At 39.8% G+C, this 17,886-nt stretch overlaps 1 long non-coding RNA gene across 1 annotated transcript in view; it reads right to left on the bottom strand.

Annotated features, from left to right (window-relative positions):
• LOC107987083 (uncharacterized) overlaps positions 1-17,886 on the bottom strand; it is a 122,361-nt gene that overhangs the window by 13,939 nt on the left and 90,536 nt on the right. Inside the window, exon 3 of the long non-coding RNA XR_001746759.2 lies at positions 15,830-15,992. This is a non-coding gene — a long non-coding RNA (uncharacterized LOC107987083). The remainder of the gene's footprint in view (positions 1-15,829; positions 15,993-17,886) is intronic.

The raw sequence follows: 17,886 nt of genomic DNA, 5'->3' as shown, positions 1-17,886 counted from the left end.
ATGCCTTGTTAAAGTGAAATCTGCATTTATCTCTAAATTGTAAGCAATATCAAATCAAGATAAATTGACTAAGTTACCTTAAACTTATCCCAATTGAATATGATTCTGCAAATATTATTTATAACCCAAAAATATATCAATATAGGAAGAACCTACAGTAAAGGACTGGCCTTTTCCAATTCGCCATTCACACATAACATCAAAGATATTGACAGGTAGATGACAGATGGGTTAGATTAGATAAATGATAGATAGCTATTTCATTTTTCATGTAAATATATCATTGCTATCATCTGACTCTTTCAAAAATTAAGCAGTGACCTTGTATTCACCATGTAATTCAGGTTAATCTTTGACACTGAAATGTAGCACTTCAGAAGGGATACGGGCATAAACTGTGGCCATGATGAAAAAATTAAAGTTTTCTTTTAGGAGAAGCATGCCCTAAGACATACATACTTTGTACAGAGAAAATGAAAAACTGGTAGAGACAGTTAAAATCTTAAATAATTTTTTTAAAAAAACCACATAGCAAAACAATAATCCCTGTGTTCTCCAGCAAAATCTAGAAAGTAAATGTTCTTTCAGATCAAAAGTTCTAGATTTTCTAGGCCGGGCATGTTGGCTCATGCCTGTAATCCCAGGAATTTGGGAGGCGGAGGCAGGTGGATCACCTGAGGTTAGGAGTTTGAGACCAGCCTGGCTAACATGGCGAAACCCCGTCTCTACTAAAAATACAAAAGCTAGCCAGGTGCAGTGGTGTTGCACCTATAGTCCCAGCTACTCAGGAGGCTGAAACAGAAGAACTGCTTGAACCTGGGAAGCGGAGGTTGCAGTGAGCTGAGATCACACCACTGTACCCCAGCCTGGGCAACAGAGCAAGACTCCATCTCAAAAACAAAAAACAACAACAACAAAATTCTGGATTTTCCATGTAATCAACCACATTCTCCACGATAAATGGATTCTTGACTGGATAGGTTACAAGTAAATTCTCTAAAGAAATGCTAAACGTTCCAGAAGTTTCTTCAGGGGGGATTGTAATGAATATCCTGCCCTTCAGAGGCAAGTGGGCTTTGGCAGCAAGAGCAGAGGACAGAAGTAAGGAGGTGGAGCTTGAGTCCCAGCAACACCATAGCCCTGTGACCTTGGTCAAGTCACTTTCCTTCTATGTCTCAATTTCTCATCTATAAAATAAGACAGTTACCTCCTCCTACCGATATCCAGTGATCACTGTGAGGACTGATACTCAAAATACTTAACATCTAATGCAATATAAGCACTGAATAACAACCTTGTTTATCCTCTACCTCATTCCAGGAAGGACTCAAGGTAATCAACAGAAGAAACAATACCAAAAAACATCTATTAAGTTAGAGAAATTTAGGGCAAAGAAAACGAACTTCAACCATAAGATAAAACAGAGAATTAACATGTAAAAGAGCACCAAATTTGGGAAGACATTTCTTGCAAAGACCCTAGCAAGGGGAACATTGAGAAATGCTACATAGTAGAGAGATTCTTGATGTCTCATTTACACAATCTGTCAGCCTCTATTACGGTGATCTTTGGGTTTTTCTCCAGGTGTTCATTAAGCCTCTGAGAGAAGAAAGAAAAGAGACATGTATTTCACGTCCATTATTCCTGGTACAATGGTAGCCCTTTCTAAATGTTATCTAATCTTCACACCAACACTACTATAAATTAATTATCCTCATTTTACAGATTACAGGAAACAGGGGTCCCAAGAGGATGATTCTCACAGCAATCTGAGTATGAAGCCTCAAATGTCTGTTTACTTCATTGCTGTAGCCATGATTTCAGATGAATAAAATGGAAACAAATAACCTTAAATAATGAATTAATGAAGAACCCTGAACTCTACTACGGAAATACATCAGTGTCTCCAGCAGACATAGGTGAGGGGTGACATCCTTATGGTAATAATAGAGTAAACCAGGGGTCCCCAAGCCCCAGTCCATGGGACACCAGTCCATGGCCTGTTAGAAACTAGGCTGCACAGCAGGAGGTGAGTGGCAGGCAAGCAAGCGAAGCTTCATTTGTATTTACAGCTGCTCCTCATGGCTCACATTACCACCTGAGCTCTGCCTCCTGTCAGATCAGTGACAGCATTAGATTCTCATAGGAACACAAACCCTGTTGTGAACTGTGCACGTGAGGGATCTAGGTTGCATGCTCCTTATGAGAATCTAATGCCTGATGATCTGTCACTGTCTCCCAGAACACCCAGATGAGGTTGTCTAGTTGCAAGAAAACAAGCTCAGGGTTCCCACTGATTCTATATTATGGTGAGTTGTATAATTATTTCATTATATATTATAATGTAATAATAATAGAAATAAAGGGCACAATAAGTGCAATGCACTTGAATCATCCCAAAACCAACATCCCCCACCTCCCTACTCTGTGGAAAAATTGTCTTCCACAAAACGGGTCCCTGGTGCCAAAAAGGTTGGGGACTACTGCAGTAAACCATCAAGTAAGGTTGAATACTGACATAACAGATTTACTTCTACTGTTAAAATCTATGTTATTGACCCTAGAAAAGTATTTTCATTAAAGAACTAGCAGATATTTAAATTCATTTAAAATTCAAATTATAATTTACACCAGTTCATTCACATATTCATGAAATGCTTAATATGTATTAAGCATCATGTGAGATGTTGCAAATATAAAGGTAATAAAATGCAGTCTACACCCCAAAGAAACCTATATTATTTTAATAACCATATGTCTAGCTATAACAGATAATGAAATATGTTTGTCATATTTTTTATTTGGGTTTGGGGCATCATTTGAAATTTAAAAATAGGATTTTGATTAGTCTATAGAAGTGAAGATTCAGATATCTTAAAAACATAAAAATTAGATATTTGCTAAATATCCATTATGGTTCTAGCACTGGGTTAGGCATTAGGGAACTTATGAAACCATTAAACAAATGCAGAATCTGAGCTTGCCATCCTCTCCCCTTAAAGTTAGGCTGTGTCAGCTACTAGGATACTTAGCTTAGCAAGTCTACTGAAATGCCAACCACCGTTAACTGATTATTTTTACTTTTTATATCACAGCTATCTCTAAGCAACCTAGCTAGTCCCTCAATGTAAACAAAGCCTTTCAGTCTAATTCTCAGAGAAGCTTCTTGCTTCAATTTTCCTTCATTCTTAAGCCTCAGCATTCTTCTGTCTGGCGTCACCCCTGACTTATCTCAATAACATCTCCTTTCTGAAAGCTCAGGGCATTCACCCATTCAATCACTCTTTCTTTTCTCAGTTACCTGTTACCTACTTCCTGCTTCCTGGCTACCTCTCCATGCCACTCCACACTTTGGCATCTGGATCAGAGTCTTTGTCTCAGCCTGTCTCCTGTCATCATCATGGTCAAATTCAACATCCAGGTTCAATATACTTCCACATTTTGTATTAAATAGTAGCCACACCCAGCCTGGATTCAACTGCCTTCTTCTTTCTGCAATCCCTTTCCATAAGTTCATCCATTTCCATTGCCTCAAACCTCTAATGATGCCCAAATCTCTATCTGTACCCCAAAATAGGCCCCAGAACCTTAGACATAACATTTTCATCTGCTTGATAGCTATATTGGTAGATAATTTGGCATGTCCAAATTAAATGCATCGTCTTTCCTCAATTAACTCTCCAACCCCACCGTTCCCCTTCTCCTGTGTTCCCATGTCATACGGCCCCAGCATTCTCTTCCTCTTAGGGTTCATATCACTGGATTCACTCGAATGTTTCCAAATCCTATAGATTTCCCCCAAGCAATGTCTTTCTTCACTTTCCTGCTGCTGTCATTGGTGTCTCTAATATATTGTCAGCTCCTTAACAGCAATGATTATATTGTGGCCATCTTTGTGTTTGTCACAATACCTAGAACATTGTGAATGGCTAATAAGCATCTGTTAAACTCTGTTCTATAAAATGATTTCTCATGTATTACCAGAAATTGACCCAAGTTTTGGGTCCTGGTGTTTATACAACATAGAAAATGTCTTTTTTTTTTTTAAGTATACAACATTATGGATACAAAATTAGATACGGGGCTTTTGAAGGAGCACACATAAGTGAAGTGCCCTGAAGTTTAAGATTCACTGGCTTCATGGTAATGTATACTTTGGAAATGCAAATGAACCTTCTAATTGAGATGTAAGTTTATTGTAATTTTTTTTTTGGTTTATAAACAACAGAAATTTATTTCTCACAGTCCTAGAGGCTGGAAAGTCCAAGATCAAGGCTCCAGGAGATTCAGTGTCAAGTTAGGGTCCATTTTCTGGTTCATAGATGGCACCTTCTCATTGTGTCTTCACCTGGTGGAAGGAGCACATGAGCTCCCTTGGGCCTTTTTTTTTTTTTTTGTTATATAGGTACGTACATGCCATGGCAGCTTGCTGCACCCATCAACCCATCATCTACATCAGGTATTTCTCCTAATGCTATCCAACCCACACCCCGACAGGCCCTGGTGTGATGTTCCCCTCCCTGTTCAACTCCCACTTATGAGTGAGAACATGCAGTGTTTGGTTTACTCTTGTGTTAGTTAGCTGAGAATGATGGTTTCCAGCTTCATCCGTGTCCCTACAAAGGACATGAACTCATCCTTTTTTATGGCTGCATAGTATTCCATGGTGTATATGTGCCACATTTTCTTTATCTAGTCTATCATTGATGGGCATTTGGGTTGGTTCCAGGTCTTTGCTATTGTGAACAGTGCTGCAATAAACATACATATGCATGTGTCTTTATAGAAGCATGATTTATAATCCTTTGGGTATATACCCAGTAACTGGATTGCTGGGTCAAATGGTACTTTTGGCTCTAGATTATTGAGGAATCACCACACTGTATTCCACAATGGTTAAACTAATTTACACTCCCACCAACAGTGTAAAAGCATTCCTATTTCTCCACATCCTCTCCAGCATCTGTTGTTTCCTGACTTTTTAATGATTGCCATTCTAACTGGTGTGAGATGGTATCTCGTAGTTTTGATTTGCATTTCTCTAATTACCAGTGATGATGAGCTTTTTTTCACATATTTGTTGGCTGCATAAATGTCTTCTTTTGAGAAGTGCCTGTTCATATCCTTTGCCCACTTTTTGATAGGGTTTTTTCTTGTAAATTTAAGTTCCTTACAGATTATGGATATTAACCCTTTGTCAGACAGATAGATTGCAAAAATTTTCTTCCATTTTGTAGGTTGCCTGTTCACTCTGATGATAGTTTCTTTTGCTGTGCAGAAGCTCTTTAATTAGATCCCATTTGTCAATTCTGGCTTTTGTTGCCATTGCTTTTGGTGTTTTAGTCATGAAGTCTTTGCCCATGCCTATGTCCTGAATGGTATTGCCTAGGTTTTCTTATAGGGTTTTTATGGTTTCAGGTCTTAGGTTTAAGTCTTTAATCCATCTTGAATTACTTTTTGCATAAGGTATAAGGAAGGGGTCCAGTTTCAGTTTTCTGCATATGGCTAGCCAGTTTACTCAATACCATATATTAAATAAGGAATCCGTTCCCCATTGCTTGTTTTTGTCAGGTTTGTCAAAGATCAAATGGTTGTAAATGTGTGGTGTTATTTCCGAGGCCTCTGTTCTGTTCCATTGGTCTATATCTCTGTTTTGGTACCTGTACCATGCTGTTTTGGTTACTGTAGCCTTGTAGTATAGTTTGAAGTCAGGTAGCGTGATGCCTCCAGCTTTGTTCTTTTTGCTTAGGATTGTCTTGGCTATTTGGGCTCTTTTTTGGTTCCATATGAAATTTAAAGTAGTTTTTTCTAATTCTGTGAAGAAAGTCAATGGTAGCTTTATGAGATAGCATTAAATCTATAAATTACTTTGGGCAGTGTGGCCATTTTCACCATATGGATTCTTCCTTTCCGTGAGCATGGAATGTTTTTCCATTTGTTTGTGTCATCTCTTATTTTCTTGAGCAGTGGTTTGTAGTTCTCCTTGAAGGGGTCTGTCACATCCCTTGTAAGTTGGATTCCTAGGTATTTTATTCTCTTCGTAGCAATTGTGAATGGGAGTTCACTCATGATTTGGCTCTCTATTATTGGTGTATAGGAATGCTTGTGATTTTTGCACATTGATTTTATATCCTGAGACTTTGCTGAAGTTGCTTTTCAGCTTAAGGAGATTTTGGGCTGAGACAATGGGGTTTTCTAGTTTATTGTAATTTTCAACCCTAACATCTTCTACTAAAGTGATGCCTTGTACAGTCAATGATATACTAAAATCAAAACTTCTATTTTTTTAAACAACTACTGTTTTTATTTTTTTCCATAGGTTATTGGGGTATAGGTGGTGTTTGGTTACATGAGTAAGTTCTTTAGTGACTTATGAGATTTTGGTGCACTAATCACCCGAGCATTATACACTGTAGCCTATCTATGGTTTTTTACCCTTTCCCTTCTCCCAACCCTCCCCACAAGTCCCCAAAGCCCATTGTATCATTCTTATGCCTTTGCATCCTCATAGTTTAGCTTCTACATATCAGTGAGAACATGTGATGATGGTTTTCCATTCCTGAGTTACTTCACTTAGAATAATAGTCTCCAATCTCAGCGAGGTCACTGCAAATGCCATTAATTCATTCCCTTTTATGGCTGAGTAGTATTCCATCATATATACATATATATACCACAGTTTCTTTGTCCACTCGTTGATTGATGGGCATTTGGGTTGGTTCCACGATTTTGCAGTTGCGAACTGTGCTGCTATAAACATGCACGTGCAAGTATCTTTTTCATAAAATGACTTATTTTCCTCTGGGTAGATACCCAATAGTGGGATTACTGGATCAAATGGTAGTTCTACGTTTAGTTATTTAAGGAATCTCCACACTGTTTTCCATTGTGGTTGTACTAGTTTACATTCCCATCACCAGTGTAGAAGTGTTCCCTGATCACTACATACACACCAACATCTACTGTTTTTTATTTTTTGATTATGACCATTCTTGCAGGAGTAGGATGGTATCATTTGTGGTTTTGATTTGCATTTCCCTGATCATTAGTGATGTTGAGCATTTTTTCATATGTTTGTCGGCCATTTTTATATCCTCTTTTGAGAACTGTCTATTCATGTCCTTAGCCCACTTTTTGATGGGATTGTTTTTTTTCTTGAGGATTTGAGTTTGTTGTAGATTCTGGGTATTAGTCCTTTGTCAGATGTATAGCTTGTGAAGATTTTCTCCCACCCTTTGGGTTGTCTGTTTACTCTGCTGACTGTTCCTTTTGCTGTGCAGAAGCTCTTTAGTTTAATTAAGTCCCGGCTATTTATCTTTGCTTTTATTGCATTTGCTTTTGGGTTCTTAGTCATGAAATCCTTGCCTAGGCCAATGTCTAGAAGGGTTTTTCCAATGTTATTTTCTAGAATTTTTATAGTTTCAGATCTTAGATTTAAGTCATTAATCTATCTTGAGTTGATTTTTGTAAAAGGTGAGAGATGAGGATCCAGTTTCATTATCCTACATGTGGCTAGCCAATTATCCCAGCACCATTTGTTGAAAAGGGTGTCCTTTCCCCACTTATTTTGTTTTGTCAAAGATCAGTTGGCTGTACGTATTTGGATTTCTGGGTTGTCTATTCTGTTCTATTGGTCCATGTGCCTATTTTTATACATGTACCACGCTGTTTTGGTGATTGTGGACTTATAGTTTGAAATCAGGTAGCATGATGTCTCTAGATTTGTTATTTTTGCTTAGTCTTGCTTTGGCTATGTGTGCTCTTTTTTGGTTCCATATAAATTTCAGAATTGTTTTTTCTAATTCTGTGAAGAATGGTGGTGGTATTTTGATGAGGATTGCATTGAATTTGTAGATTGCTTTTGGCAGTATGGTCATTTTGACAGTATTGATTCTATCTATCCATGAGCATGGGGTGTGTTTCCATTTGTTTGTGTCACCTATGATTTCTTTAAGCAGTGTTTTGTAGTTTTCCTCATAGAAGTCTTTCACCTCCTTGGTTAGGTATATTCCTAAGTTATATTTTTTTATTTTATGGCAGCTATTGTGAAAGGGTTTGAGTTCTTGATTTGATTCTGTTTGGTTGTTCTTGGTGTATAGAAGAGCTACTTATTTGTGTGCTTTAATCTTGTGTTCAGAAACTTTGCTGAATTCTTTTATCAGTTCCAGGAGTTTTCTGAAGGGGTCTTTAGGGTTTTTGAGGTGAGCAATCATATCATCAGCAAACAGTGACAGCTTGACTTCCTCTTTACTAATTTGGATGCCATTTCTTTCTCTTGTCTGATTGCTCTAGCTAGGACTTCCAGTACTGTGCCAAAGAGGAGTGGTGAGAGTGGGCATCCTTCTCTTGTTCCAGTTCTCAGAGGGCATGCTTTCAACTTTTCCCCATTCAGTATTACGTTGGCTGTGGGTTTGTCATAGATGGCTTTTATGACATTGAAGTATGTCCCTGGTATGCTGATTTTGATGAGCGTTTTAATTATAAAGGAATGCTGGATTTTGTCGAATGGTTTTTCTTTATCTACCGAGATGATCATGTGATTTTTGTTTTTAATTCTGTCTATGTGGTGTATCACATTGATTGACTTGCATATGTTAAACCATCCCTGGCATGAAACCCACTTTATCGTGGAGGATTATCTTTTTGATATGTTGTTGGAGTCAGTTAGCAAGTATTTTGTTAAGGATTTTAGCATCTATGTTCATTAGGGATATTGGTCTGTAGTTTTCCTTTTCAGTTAGGTCCTTTTCTGGTTTTGGTATCAGGGTGATACTGGCTTCATAGAATGAATTAGTGAAGGTTCTCTCTTTATCTTGTGGAATAGTGTCAATAGGATTGGTACCAATTCTTTGACTGGTAGAATTCTGATGTGAATCCATCTGGTCCTGGACTTTTGTTAGTAATTTTTTAATTACCATTTCAATCTCGCTGCTTGTTATTGGTCTGTTCAGGGTATCTAATTCTTCCTGATTTAAGCTAGGAGAGTTGTATTTTTCCAGGAATTTATCCATCTCTTCTAGGCTTTCTTACTTATGCACATAAAGGTGTTCATAGTAGCCTTGAATGATCTTTTGTATCTCTGTGGTATCATTTGTAATATTTCCCGTTTTGCATCTCATTGAGGTTATTTGGATTTTCTAGCTTCTTTCCTTGGTTAATCTTGCTAATGGTCTATCAATTTTGTTTATCTTTTCGAAGAACCAGCTTTTTGTTTATATTTTGTAATTTTTATTGTTTCAATTTCATTTAGGTCTAATCTGATCTTGCTTATTTCCTTTCTTCTGCTGGGATTGGGTTTTGTTTGTTCTTGTTTCTCTAGTTCCTTGCAGTGTGACCTTAGATTGTCAGTTTGTGCTCTTTCAGTCTTTTTGATGTAGGCATCTAGGGCTATGAACTTTCCTATTAGCACCGCCTTTGCTGTATCCCAGAGGTTTTGATAGGCTGTGTCACTATTGTTGCTCAGTTTGAAAAATTTTTAAATTTCCATTTTGATTTCATTTTTGACCCAATGATCATTCAGGAGCAGGTTATTTAATTTCCATGTATTTGCACGGTTTTGAAGGTTCCTTTTGGGGTTGATTTCCAGTTTTATTCCACTGTGGTCTAAGAGAGTGATAAAATTTCAATTTTCTTAAATTTATTAAGGCTCATTTTGTGGCCTATCATATGGTCTACCTTGGAGAAAGTTCCATGTGCTGTTGAACAGAATGTGTATTCTGCATTTATTAGATGGAATGTTCTGCATATATCTGTTAAGTTCATTTGTTCCAAGGTATAGTTTAAGTCCATTGTTTCTTTGTTGACTTTCTGTCTTGATAACCTGTCTAGTGCTGTCAGTGGAGTACTGAAGTCCCCCACTATTATTCTGTTGCTGTCTATCTCATTTATTAGGTCTATTAGTAATTGTTTTATAAATTTGGAAGCTTCAGTGTTAGGTGCCTATATATTTACGATTGTGATATTTTGCTGTTGGGCAAGGCCTTTTACCATTATATAATGTCCCTCTTTGTATTTTTTTAACTGCTATTGCTTTAAAGTTTGTTTTGTCTGATATAAAAATAGCTACTCCTGCTCACTTTTGGTGTCCATTTGTATGAAATGGCTTTTTCCACCCCTTTTAAGTTTATGCGAGCATCACCAACCCCTGAGACTTAGTCACAATTCTGGACAAAGGAGAAGTCAGGGAACAAGTGGAATTGACTGAGACAAATTTTTTGTCATGCCAGAGTAACACAGTCATGTGTCACATAATAACATTTGGGTCACTGGCAGACCGAGTATACAACAGTGGTCAAATAAGATTGTAATGGAGCATATATTGAAACCTGACTTAGGCAGTTGATATTGACGTTGGTGATCAAGTAGGAGAAATGACTGATATTCAGTAATGATGCTGGGATATTTGATTTGCCATATGAAAAAAATGTATATAAATAAAAATATACTATCTAGGTTTGTGTAAGTACATTCTGATGTTCACATGAAAAAAAACACCTAATGACACATTTCTTAGAATATATCCCCATTGTTAAGCGGTATATGACTGTACAAGTTGAACTTCAGAAAAAAATAAGAAATATATGTTTCTTGCATACTATTATTCATACCCATTCAAGCGCTTACACAGCCTTAGAATTACATATTAAAGTTAGTCCAAATTTAAGGCATTAATGCCAGAAAAGTCATTTCAGAACTAGTAAAGAGGAGCCTCATTAGACCCCTCCATGTTTAACTGTACAGTTGGTTTCCTTTTAAAATACTTATGGCTGAAAACGTGGTCTGGGATAGGCTTTCTTCACTGGGAAGATGTACATTAGTGGAGGTTAGCACCTTGCCAACGTGGCCATTCTTTTCAAAATTCAGAGATATGTAGGTCTTTCCCTGCTAAACCACAAATCTAAAGACTGGAAAAAACTGATCAGCAAATAATTCTGCAAAGAAAACAGCAGTCTATTCTAGGTCAGATTTCGGTGACAGATATGCTTACTTTTGCTGGATAAGCACCAATAAATTATCTTTTTGGTAATGCACGGAAATGATTACCTTGTATAAATGTCATCCACCTAGATTTGTACAGGACAAAAGGGGAGATTCATTAATAAGAGAAAATTAGACATAGAAGACAACCCAATACGGAGAGATAAATGAGATATAATGCTGGCCAATCTACTGTGTACCATTTACAAAGAAGAATGGGCACTTGGTTTTAAAAATATAATTTCCCTACTTATTTTTTTCTATTTTGCAAAGTGCACCAAAGCACCGTTCAGCCATATTCCCATGACACTAATAGAAGAAAGAAGAGCATAGGAAAGTGATAATAATACAGCTGGACTTTGCTTTTATCTTCACGCCTTTCATCCAAGGATGTTTCTGCCCTTAAATAATAATTGATTAAACCTCACAATATCCCTACTGAAGGTATCTTCTGAGGGGCCCAGACAGAAGCAGAGAGAAATGGCAGGGATTGGATCACCCAGGTTCAGGCCACAGGGCTCTAACAGAGCCAGAAGCAGACCCAAGAGAAGCATCTCCCATCAACCACTTTTAATCACCTGGAAATGGCCAGGGCCCTTGAGATCGTTAGCCAGGCTACCTCCATTTTGGCATGAGCTATATTTTGTATTTAATTATTTTCAGGCCATCCACCTTTGACAGCTGTTCTTCTAAAAAATGGGACTAGAGAATTGTGAAAGGCTTGCCTATGGCCTCCAACAAGTGTCACTTCTCAGGATTGCTGCGGAGAGCCTGCAGGTAGCACATATCAAGTACAGTTCAGTAATTGGGGGGCTGCCGGAGAAGTACTTTCATGCTGACTAATTAATCTCTAGTAATTAGCACTCAGATGTAACAAGTGCAGTATTTAAGGGTCATAGCAAGGGAAATAAAATCTGCTCTTCAAAAATTTTCTCAAGAGTTTGATTGCCTTCTTTCAGATAAATAAGAGGATCCATCCACTCAGGCACAGAAACTGGAATAAAAAAGTTACTTCATATGCCCAATGCTAAACACTGCCCAAAATTACCTCCAAATAGTAATACTTGGTCTAATTCCTTTAAAATCTGAGCAAAAGTTATAGACTCCTTATTAAACTGGAAAAGACTTCAGAAATCATCTAGCCCAACTTTTTCTTCCTACAGATAAGGAAATAGAGGCCAGAGAGGTAAAGAAACTTTCCCAGGCCCCTGAAGCTGCTTGGGGCAAAGCTCCAGCTGGACCGAGGGTCACCAGGTCTGGAGTTTCACCATATCCCCTGTTTTCCTACATCAACAGGGGTCTGGATGCTGCTCAATGCTCAGCAACCTTACACACTGCATTTGAGAAACCGCACCTGCGCTGGTCCCTGGCCAGCTGCCGTGAGATCAGGACAAAGTCCGCCTGGCGCCCTGCTTCATCTCCCTCATCTAGGGCTCCTATGCCTCATCTTTGCCCTCCTATGCCTCCAGCCTCACCATCCAGCTCTTACACCCTGTGTCTCCTTCCTGCAGGTCCCCACTCTCAGACCTAAGTGTGATGTGATCCCTTCCGTGAGCTGGAAAAGCACACCCAGCCCAGGATGCAGCAGGACCCTGAGTCTAGGCATTTTCATCTGTCAAAGGGACCAAGCTATGTCATACACACATACACCTGCACACAGAGACAGATAGAGATCATGCCTCCTCTGAAAATCTCTAAGACCTTTCTAGATGGAGACACCTCTCTCTCTCCTGTTAACCTCAGAGTAAATGATGGCAACCATGGCAGAAGCATCTCCATTTATGCCTTCGACTCCCTCACTCGTCACTCCTCTGTCCATGTCTCTGCATCCTGGCCTCCTTCCCTGACTCCAGTTCTGATTCTTGTCCACATCCTTATCTGAACAAAATGATAAACTAAGGGAAGGCTCTAGTCCATGGAGTTTCTCTGAACATGAGAAAATGAGAAGCCTCGGCACCTGCTTCTGGGGGCCCCCTGCCCTGCCCTGGCACTGTGAGGAAAGGGATGGGGGCAGGAGACAGGGTTTGGACTTCTGCAGCCTCCACCCTGGGCAGCGCTGTCTTCACCATCCATCCACTATGGAAATCCAACTCCTGAGCAGGAGCCAGGCAGAAGGTTTTAAGTTGCTGGCCTTTGTTTTTGTTTTTCCTTCTCTGTGGTAAGAAGGGGTGAAGACAAATACAACTTTTCAGGACCTTCCCCTCCTCTTCTCGCCCCTTGAAGCCAGCTCTGCAGGAGTCAACCCCAACCTAGGAGAGGATGCGATGCGCTGAACAAAGCCCTGGAGGGGTCCAAAAGGGAATGCCTAATTCAGACAACTTCTTGTTTTTTGTTCTTTATTTTTTTGAGATGGAATCTTGCTCTGTTGCCAGGCTGCAGTGCAGTGGCATGATCTGGGCTCACTACAACCTACGCCTCCCAGGTTCAAGCGATTCTCCTGCCTCAGCCTCCCGAGTAGCTGGGATTACAGGCACATGCCACCACACCCAGCTAATTTTTATATTTTTAGAAGAGACAGGGTTTCACCATGTTGGCCAGTATGGTCTTGATCTCTTGACCTCCTGATCCACCTGCCTCAGCCTCCCGAAGTGCTGGGATTACAGGCATGACCCACTGTGCCTAGCCCTCATTTCTTTATGCCTCAGGCTTTACCTACAAAATAGGGGGCTTAGATGAGACATTCTCAAACCTTTCTTTTTGCTCTAAAATCTTAGTCCTGCTTTTTTTTTTTTTTGGCAAGTGTTTATTAAATGCCTATTTCTGCAAATCACTGCCCAAACTACAGGGAATACAGGGGTCAGATAAGCCACAGTGCCCACCCTCAAGGAGCTAATGTAAGTACAATGGGCACATGATTCGAGAAATTCTATGATAGAGCCTATCCAAATGCTGGGGGCAACTGCAGGGAAGCTGTGGGCAAGAATGGGGGAGAAATCATGGAGAACATCACAGAAGAAGGGACAAGTGTACTAGGCCATGAAAGGTGAGTTGGAGTTTCTAGGTGAACAAGGCCTGAGAGGAAGCAGAGGATGGAGAATGTTCCAGGTAGGAATGTTCCACAAACAAAGGCCCGGCATAAACATATACCAGGTGCAGGAAATGTCAGGAGGCATGGTGTGGCTACAGGGAGAGGAAAAGAAAAGGCCAAGTGAGTTTCCACATTGTACTGAGTGAGGAGTTTAGATGGGTTGTTGCAAAATGATTTTCTAAGATGCTAACGTGTCAGCAACATCTGTGAGAATAAATCTGATTTTTTTCCATTGGAAAGTGATACAGACGAGTGTTATGCGAAGCCCTCATAAAATCTTAACATCTTCTGACACTACTTCAAAATGATTCTTTTTCTTTTCTTGTGAAGAACAGGGTGCTAATAGACTCAGCCTATTGTTTTCAAGCAAGTTCCAACAAGATCCCTGAGATCCTTTCCCCAAAGATGATTTGCATGTAAAAATAAAGGAGGGGGCATGTAATGACTGCAGATTTTCTAGTTCAAAATTCCTTTTCACCTAAAGATCACACTTCTTTGCTTTTGTTTCAATTAAAGAAGAAAGAAATGGATCCCCCAGACTCCTAAAAGTAGTGGGAGGTATGCTCACAATTTCTGCCCCAGTGACCACCTACCCTCTTTTTTTGCAATCTCCCCACAAGCCCCCCAGAGCTTGGCTGTGGCTTGCAAGCACACCCCCTTGGTCTGCCTCTCCCACCTTTAAAGCATGCCAGTTTGGGGGTCCAGCATTGTTTAGACAATAAGGAAGCCCTACCCTAGGCTGAGGGCTCAAAGCAATGCAGATAATATCTTAATATGGCTGAGCACTGGGTTTTTTTTGTTTTTTTGTGTGTGGTGTTGTTTTTTTAAGACGGAGTTTTACTCTGTCCCCCAGGCTGGAATGCTGTGGTGTGATCCTGGCTCACTGCAACCTCTGCCTCCCAGGTTCAAGCTATTCTTGTGCCTCAGCCTCGCTAGTAGCTGGGATTACAGGTACACGCCACCATGCCTGGCTAATTTTTTTGTATTTTTATTAGCAACGGGGTTTCACCATGTTGATCAGGCCGGTCTCAAACTCCTGGCCTCAAGCCGTCCACCCACCTCAGCCTCACAAAGTGCTGGGATTACAAGCGTGAGCCACCGCACCCAGCCTGGGTTTTTAAAAAACAAAGGGACAGTAAAACCCTAGTGATTGGTACTCTCTCTCAACGTCCCGAAAACTGTTGTCCCATTGTAGCAGAGAGTAGGGCCTAGCCCAAGGGAGGACAGCATCCCTGAAAACAAAACAAATTCTAAAAACGTCTGCCATATTATTTCATAAACACCAGAAGTATAAAACAGTAAAAAGCTTCTCTTCAATTCTCAACTCAATTCCCACTTAGAAGTTTTTGTCAACAGTTTGTGGTACATCTTTCCAGACCATTTCCTCTATCCCCAAAAGAACTTTTTTACCCCTAGGTCAAGTACATTGTACATTGGGTTAATCAGCTTAATTAATTTAAAATTCTACATATGGTTCCAGGGCAGGGGTCAAAAAATGTTTCTGTAAAGGGCCTGATAGTAAATATTTTTGGCTTTGTGGACCATAGTCTATGGCAGCCACGAACTCCGCTGCTGTGGTGTGGAAGCAGCCACAGACACTATTTCAACAAATTGTCTGGGCTCCAATAAACCTTCACGAACAAAAACAGGCCCTGGCAGGATTTGGTCTGTGGGCAGGTTTGCTGGCCCCCGATCGGGGCATGACCTCCTATATTTTGTTTAAAGTAGAAGAGAATTTCCCGTGCTTGTAAAGATTCAAAACCTAGCGGAGTTTGAATATCTGAAACAATCACAGAGCAACACAAAACGGCAAACAGCACTTACGATATTGGGGACAGGCATTTCAATAGCCCCTAAGGTTCGGACCCCAGAACGGCATTGGGGTGGGGCCTGTGAAGGAGACAGGAGACACATTTCCAGTCTTCTTAATTAAGGCCATTCACAAATGGCTTGGAAAACGTTTGTGGAGTGAAGCAATTTGGGAAACCTGTGAAATGGACCAGACAACCATTAGCCTCTACCCCCGCCCCGCTTACTCTCCCGGCACCCCCAGCCCCCACCCCCAAGCGAACACACTGGCAAGTGGAAGCACACACAGGCATATTTCCGATGATTAATCTTACTGTTTCACTTTGAAACCTAAAAGAAACAAAACACTGGGAACATTCCTATTTCCCATTGAAAGTAATCACAGCTTTATATCCCTCGATGTTTCCATAAAGAGAGCTGTTTATTTAGAATCCTTGCTGATAAGGACACCACACGCTCATAACTTATTACATATTCTCTTTCCATTTTGTCTTTTTTTAAGGGGGGGGAGAATTATGTATATTTTATGATAACCCAAAGTGACTTATACATAAAAAATACAGACTTTAAAGATAAAAAGGATTAGTCGCAGGTAATGCATTTTCCATGAGTGGCTATAGGGCTCTAGGTTGCAAGCGGTACCGGCTGCATACAAATGAACTGATAAAAGTCTGGCACTGTGGATGGGTAGCAAGGCTCATGCTTTGCTGGAGATGATTCTTAAAGTTACAATAAATCAGACAGACAGTGTCGGCCTTTGAGGATAAACCTGTGATGGCTTGTTGTGCCTCTCTGAATCGCCTCAGAGGCCCAGGGACTAAAAGTGCCTAGATGTCACATTAAATCTACCGGGAGGATGGAGCACTTCAAAGAGGAACGCAATCAGATCTGATGGAAAATACATTTTCTGAAAGCTACTGACAAAAAAGTAATCTTTGATGTGGATGTTGAATAACAATTGATATTGTCTTTCCTGACATTTTTCATTATTGCCGTCTTATACAGCCTACTTCATGTATTAAAGCAATATTAACTGTTTGACAGGGACAAATCCTCCAACTATCACATAAGCAATTGTTTCTGAATTGTCCTAGCCCACTGCCTGTAAAACCTGTCCCAATAACTGCTTTTAAATATGATGGTAGACTCTTCTCCCTGACTAGCTAGACAGTGTCTGAGCTCCAGCATAGTTCAGTAGAGTCTGAGGAATATTAAAAATGGTTAGCTGGTTATGAGGTGTCATTTGATTATAAGGAAAGAGCAGGAGTGTTTTTTGAAGGTGAGTTTTAATGAGAGAGGTCTATAAAAGCTAGTCCTTATTATTCCCCCATCTTCGATACACATTTATGTCAAGTATATGTGTGCGAATCTTAGGCCTGCTGCAATTCTTGTAGCTCAAAGGGAGAAATAAAGGAATGTACAGAAGATCTTTGTTATTTATGCAATGAAATAAAGCAATCTCTGGCTGTGCAAGCACCTATAAAATATGCTGGAATTAAATCCCCCAATATGCTTCTGGGAAAAAAAAATGCAAGCAGATCTGGAAGGCACATGTCACTTTCAAAACCCAGGATACCTCCTGAGGTTTGATGTCTTAACCTTCAGCTGTGAATGTGTATGGTTTCATTGTAGGTATTTGTAAAGCTTAAAATCTCTAATTTTCTGATGACCTTGAGCTTCTTGAGAAATGGGGGGAAGTTCTATAAACGAAGAGCTGGGATTTTTTTCTATGAAATGGGGCTAATTGTACCCCAGAGTAAAAGATAGAAAATGAATACCCCACAATTCAAAATCGCAAAACCATAGAAAATGAATACCCCACAATTCAAAATCGCAAAACCATGACGACCCTGTGTTGTCAATGCTCAAAAGTTATCATTTGCACCTAAGAAACCTAGGGGATGAGATATATATTCTTCACTCACATGATTATTACATTCCCGTATTCCCTGGAGCTTCCAGCTTTCCCATGCCTTGCCAATACTGTAGCTCACCTTTATTTTTATGGTGTGGAAGTTTTACTCAAAGTCTACTTCTCTGCTGGGATTGGGGTGGGTGTGGCCTCCTTTACA

The sequence above is a fragment of the Homo sapiens genome, chromosome 9, assembly GCF_000001405.40.
Source record: "Homo sapiens chromosome 9, GRCh38.p14 Primary Assembly".
NCBI lineage: Eukaryota > Metazoa > Chordata > Mammalia > Primates > Hominidae > Homo > Homo sapiens.
The sequence above is the reverse complement of the archived record's forward strand: the minus strand, read 5'-3'. Positions and strand labels throughout refer to the sequence as shown.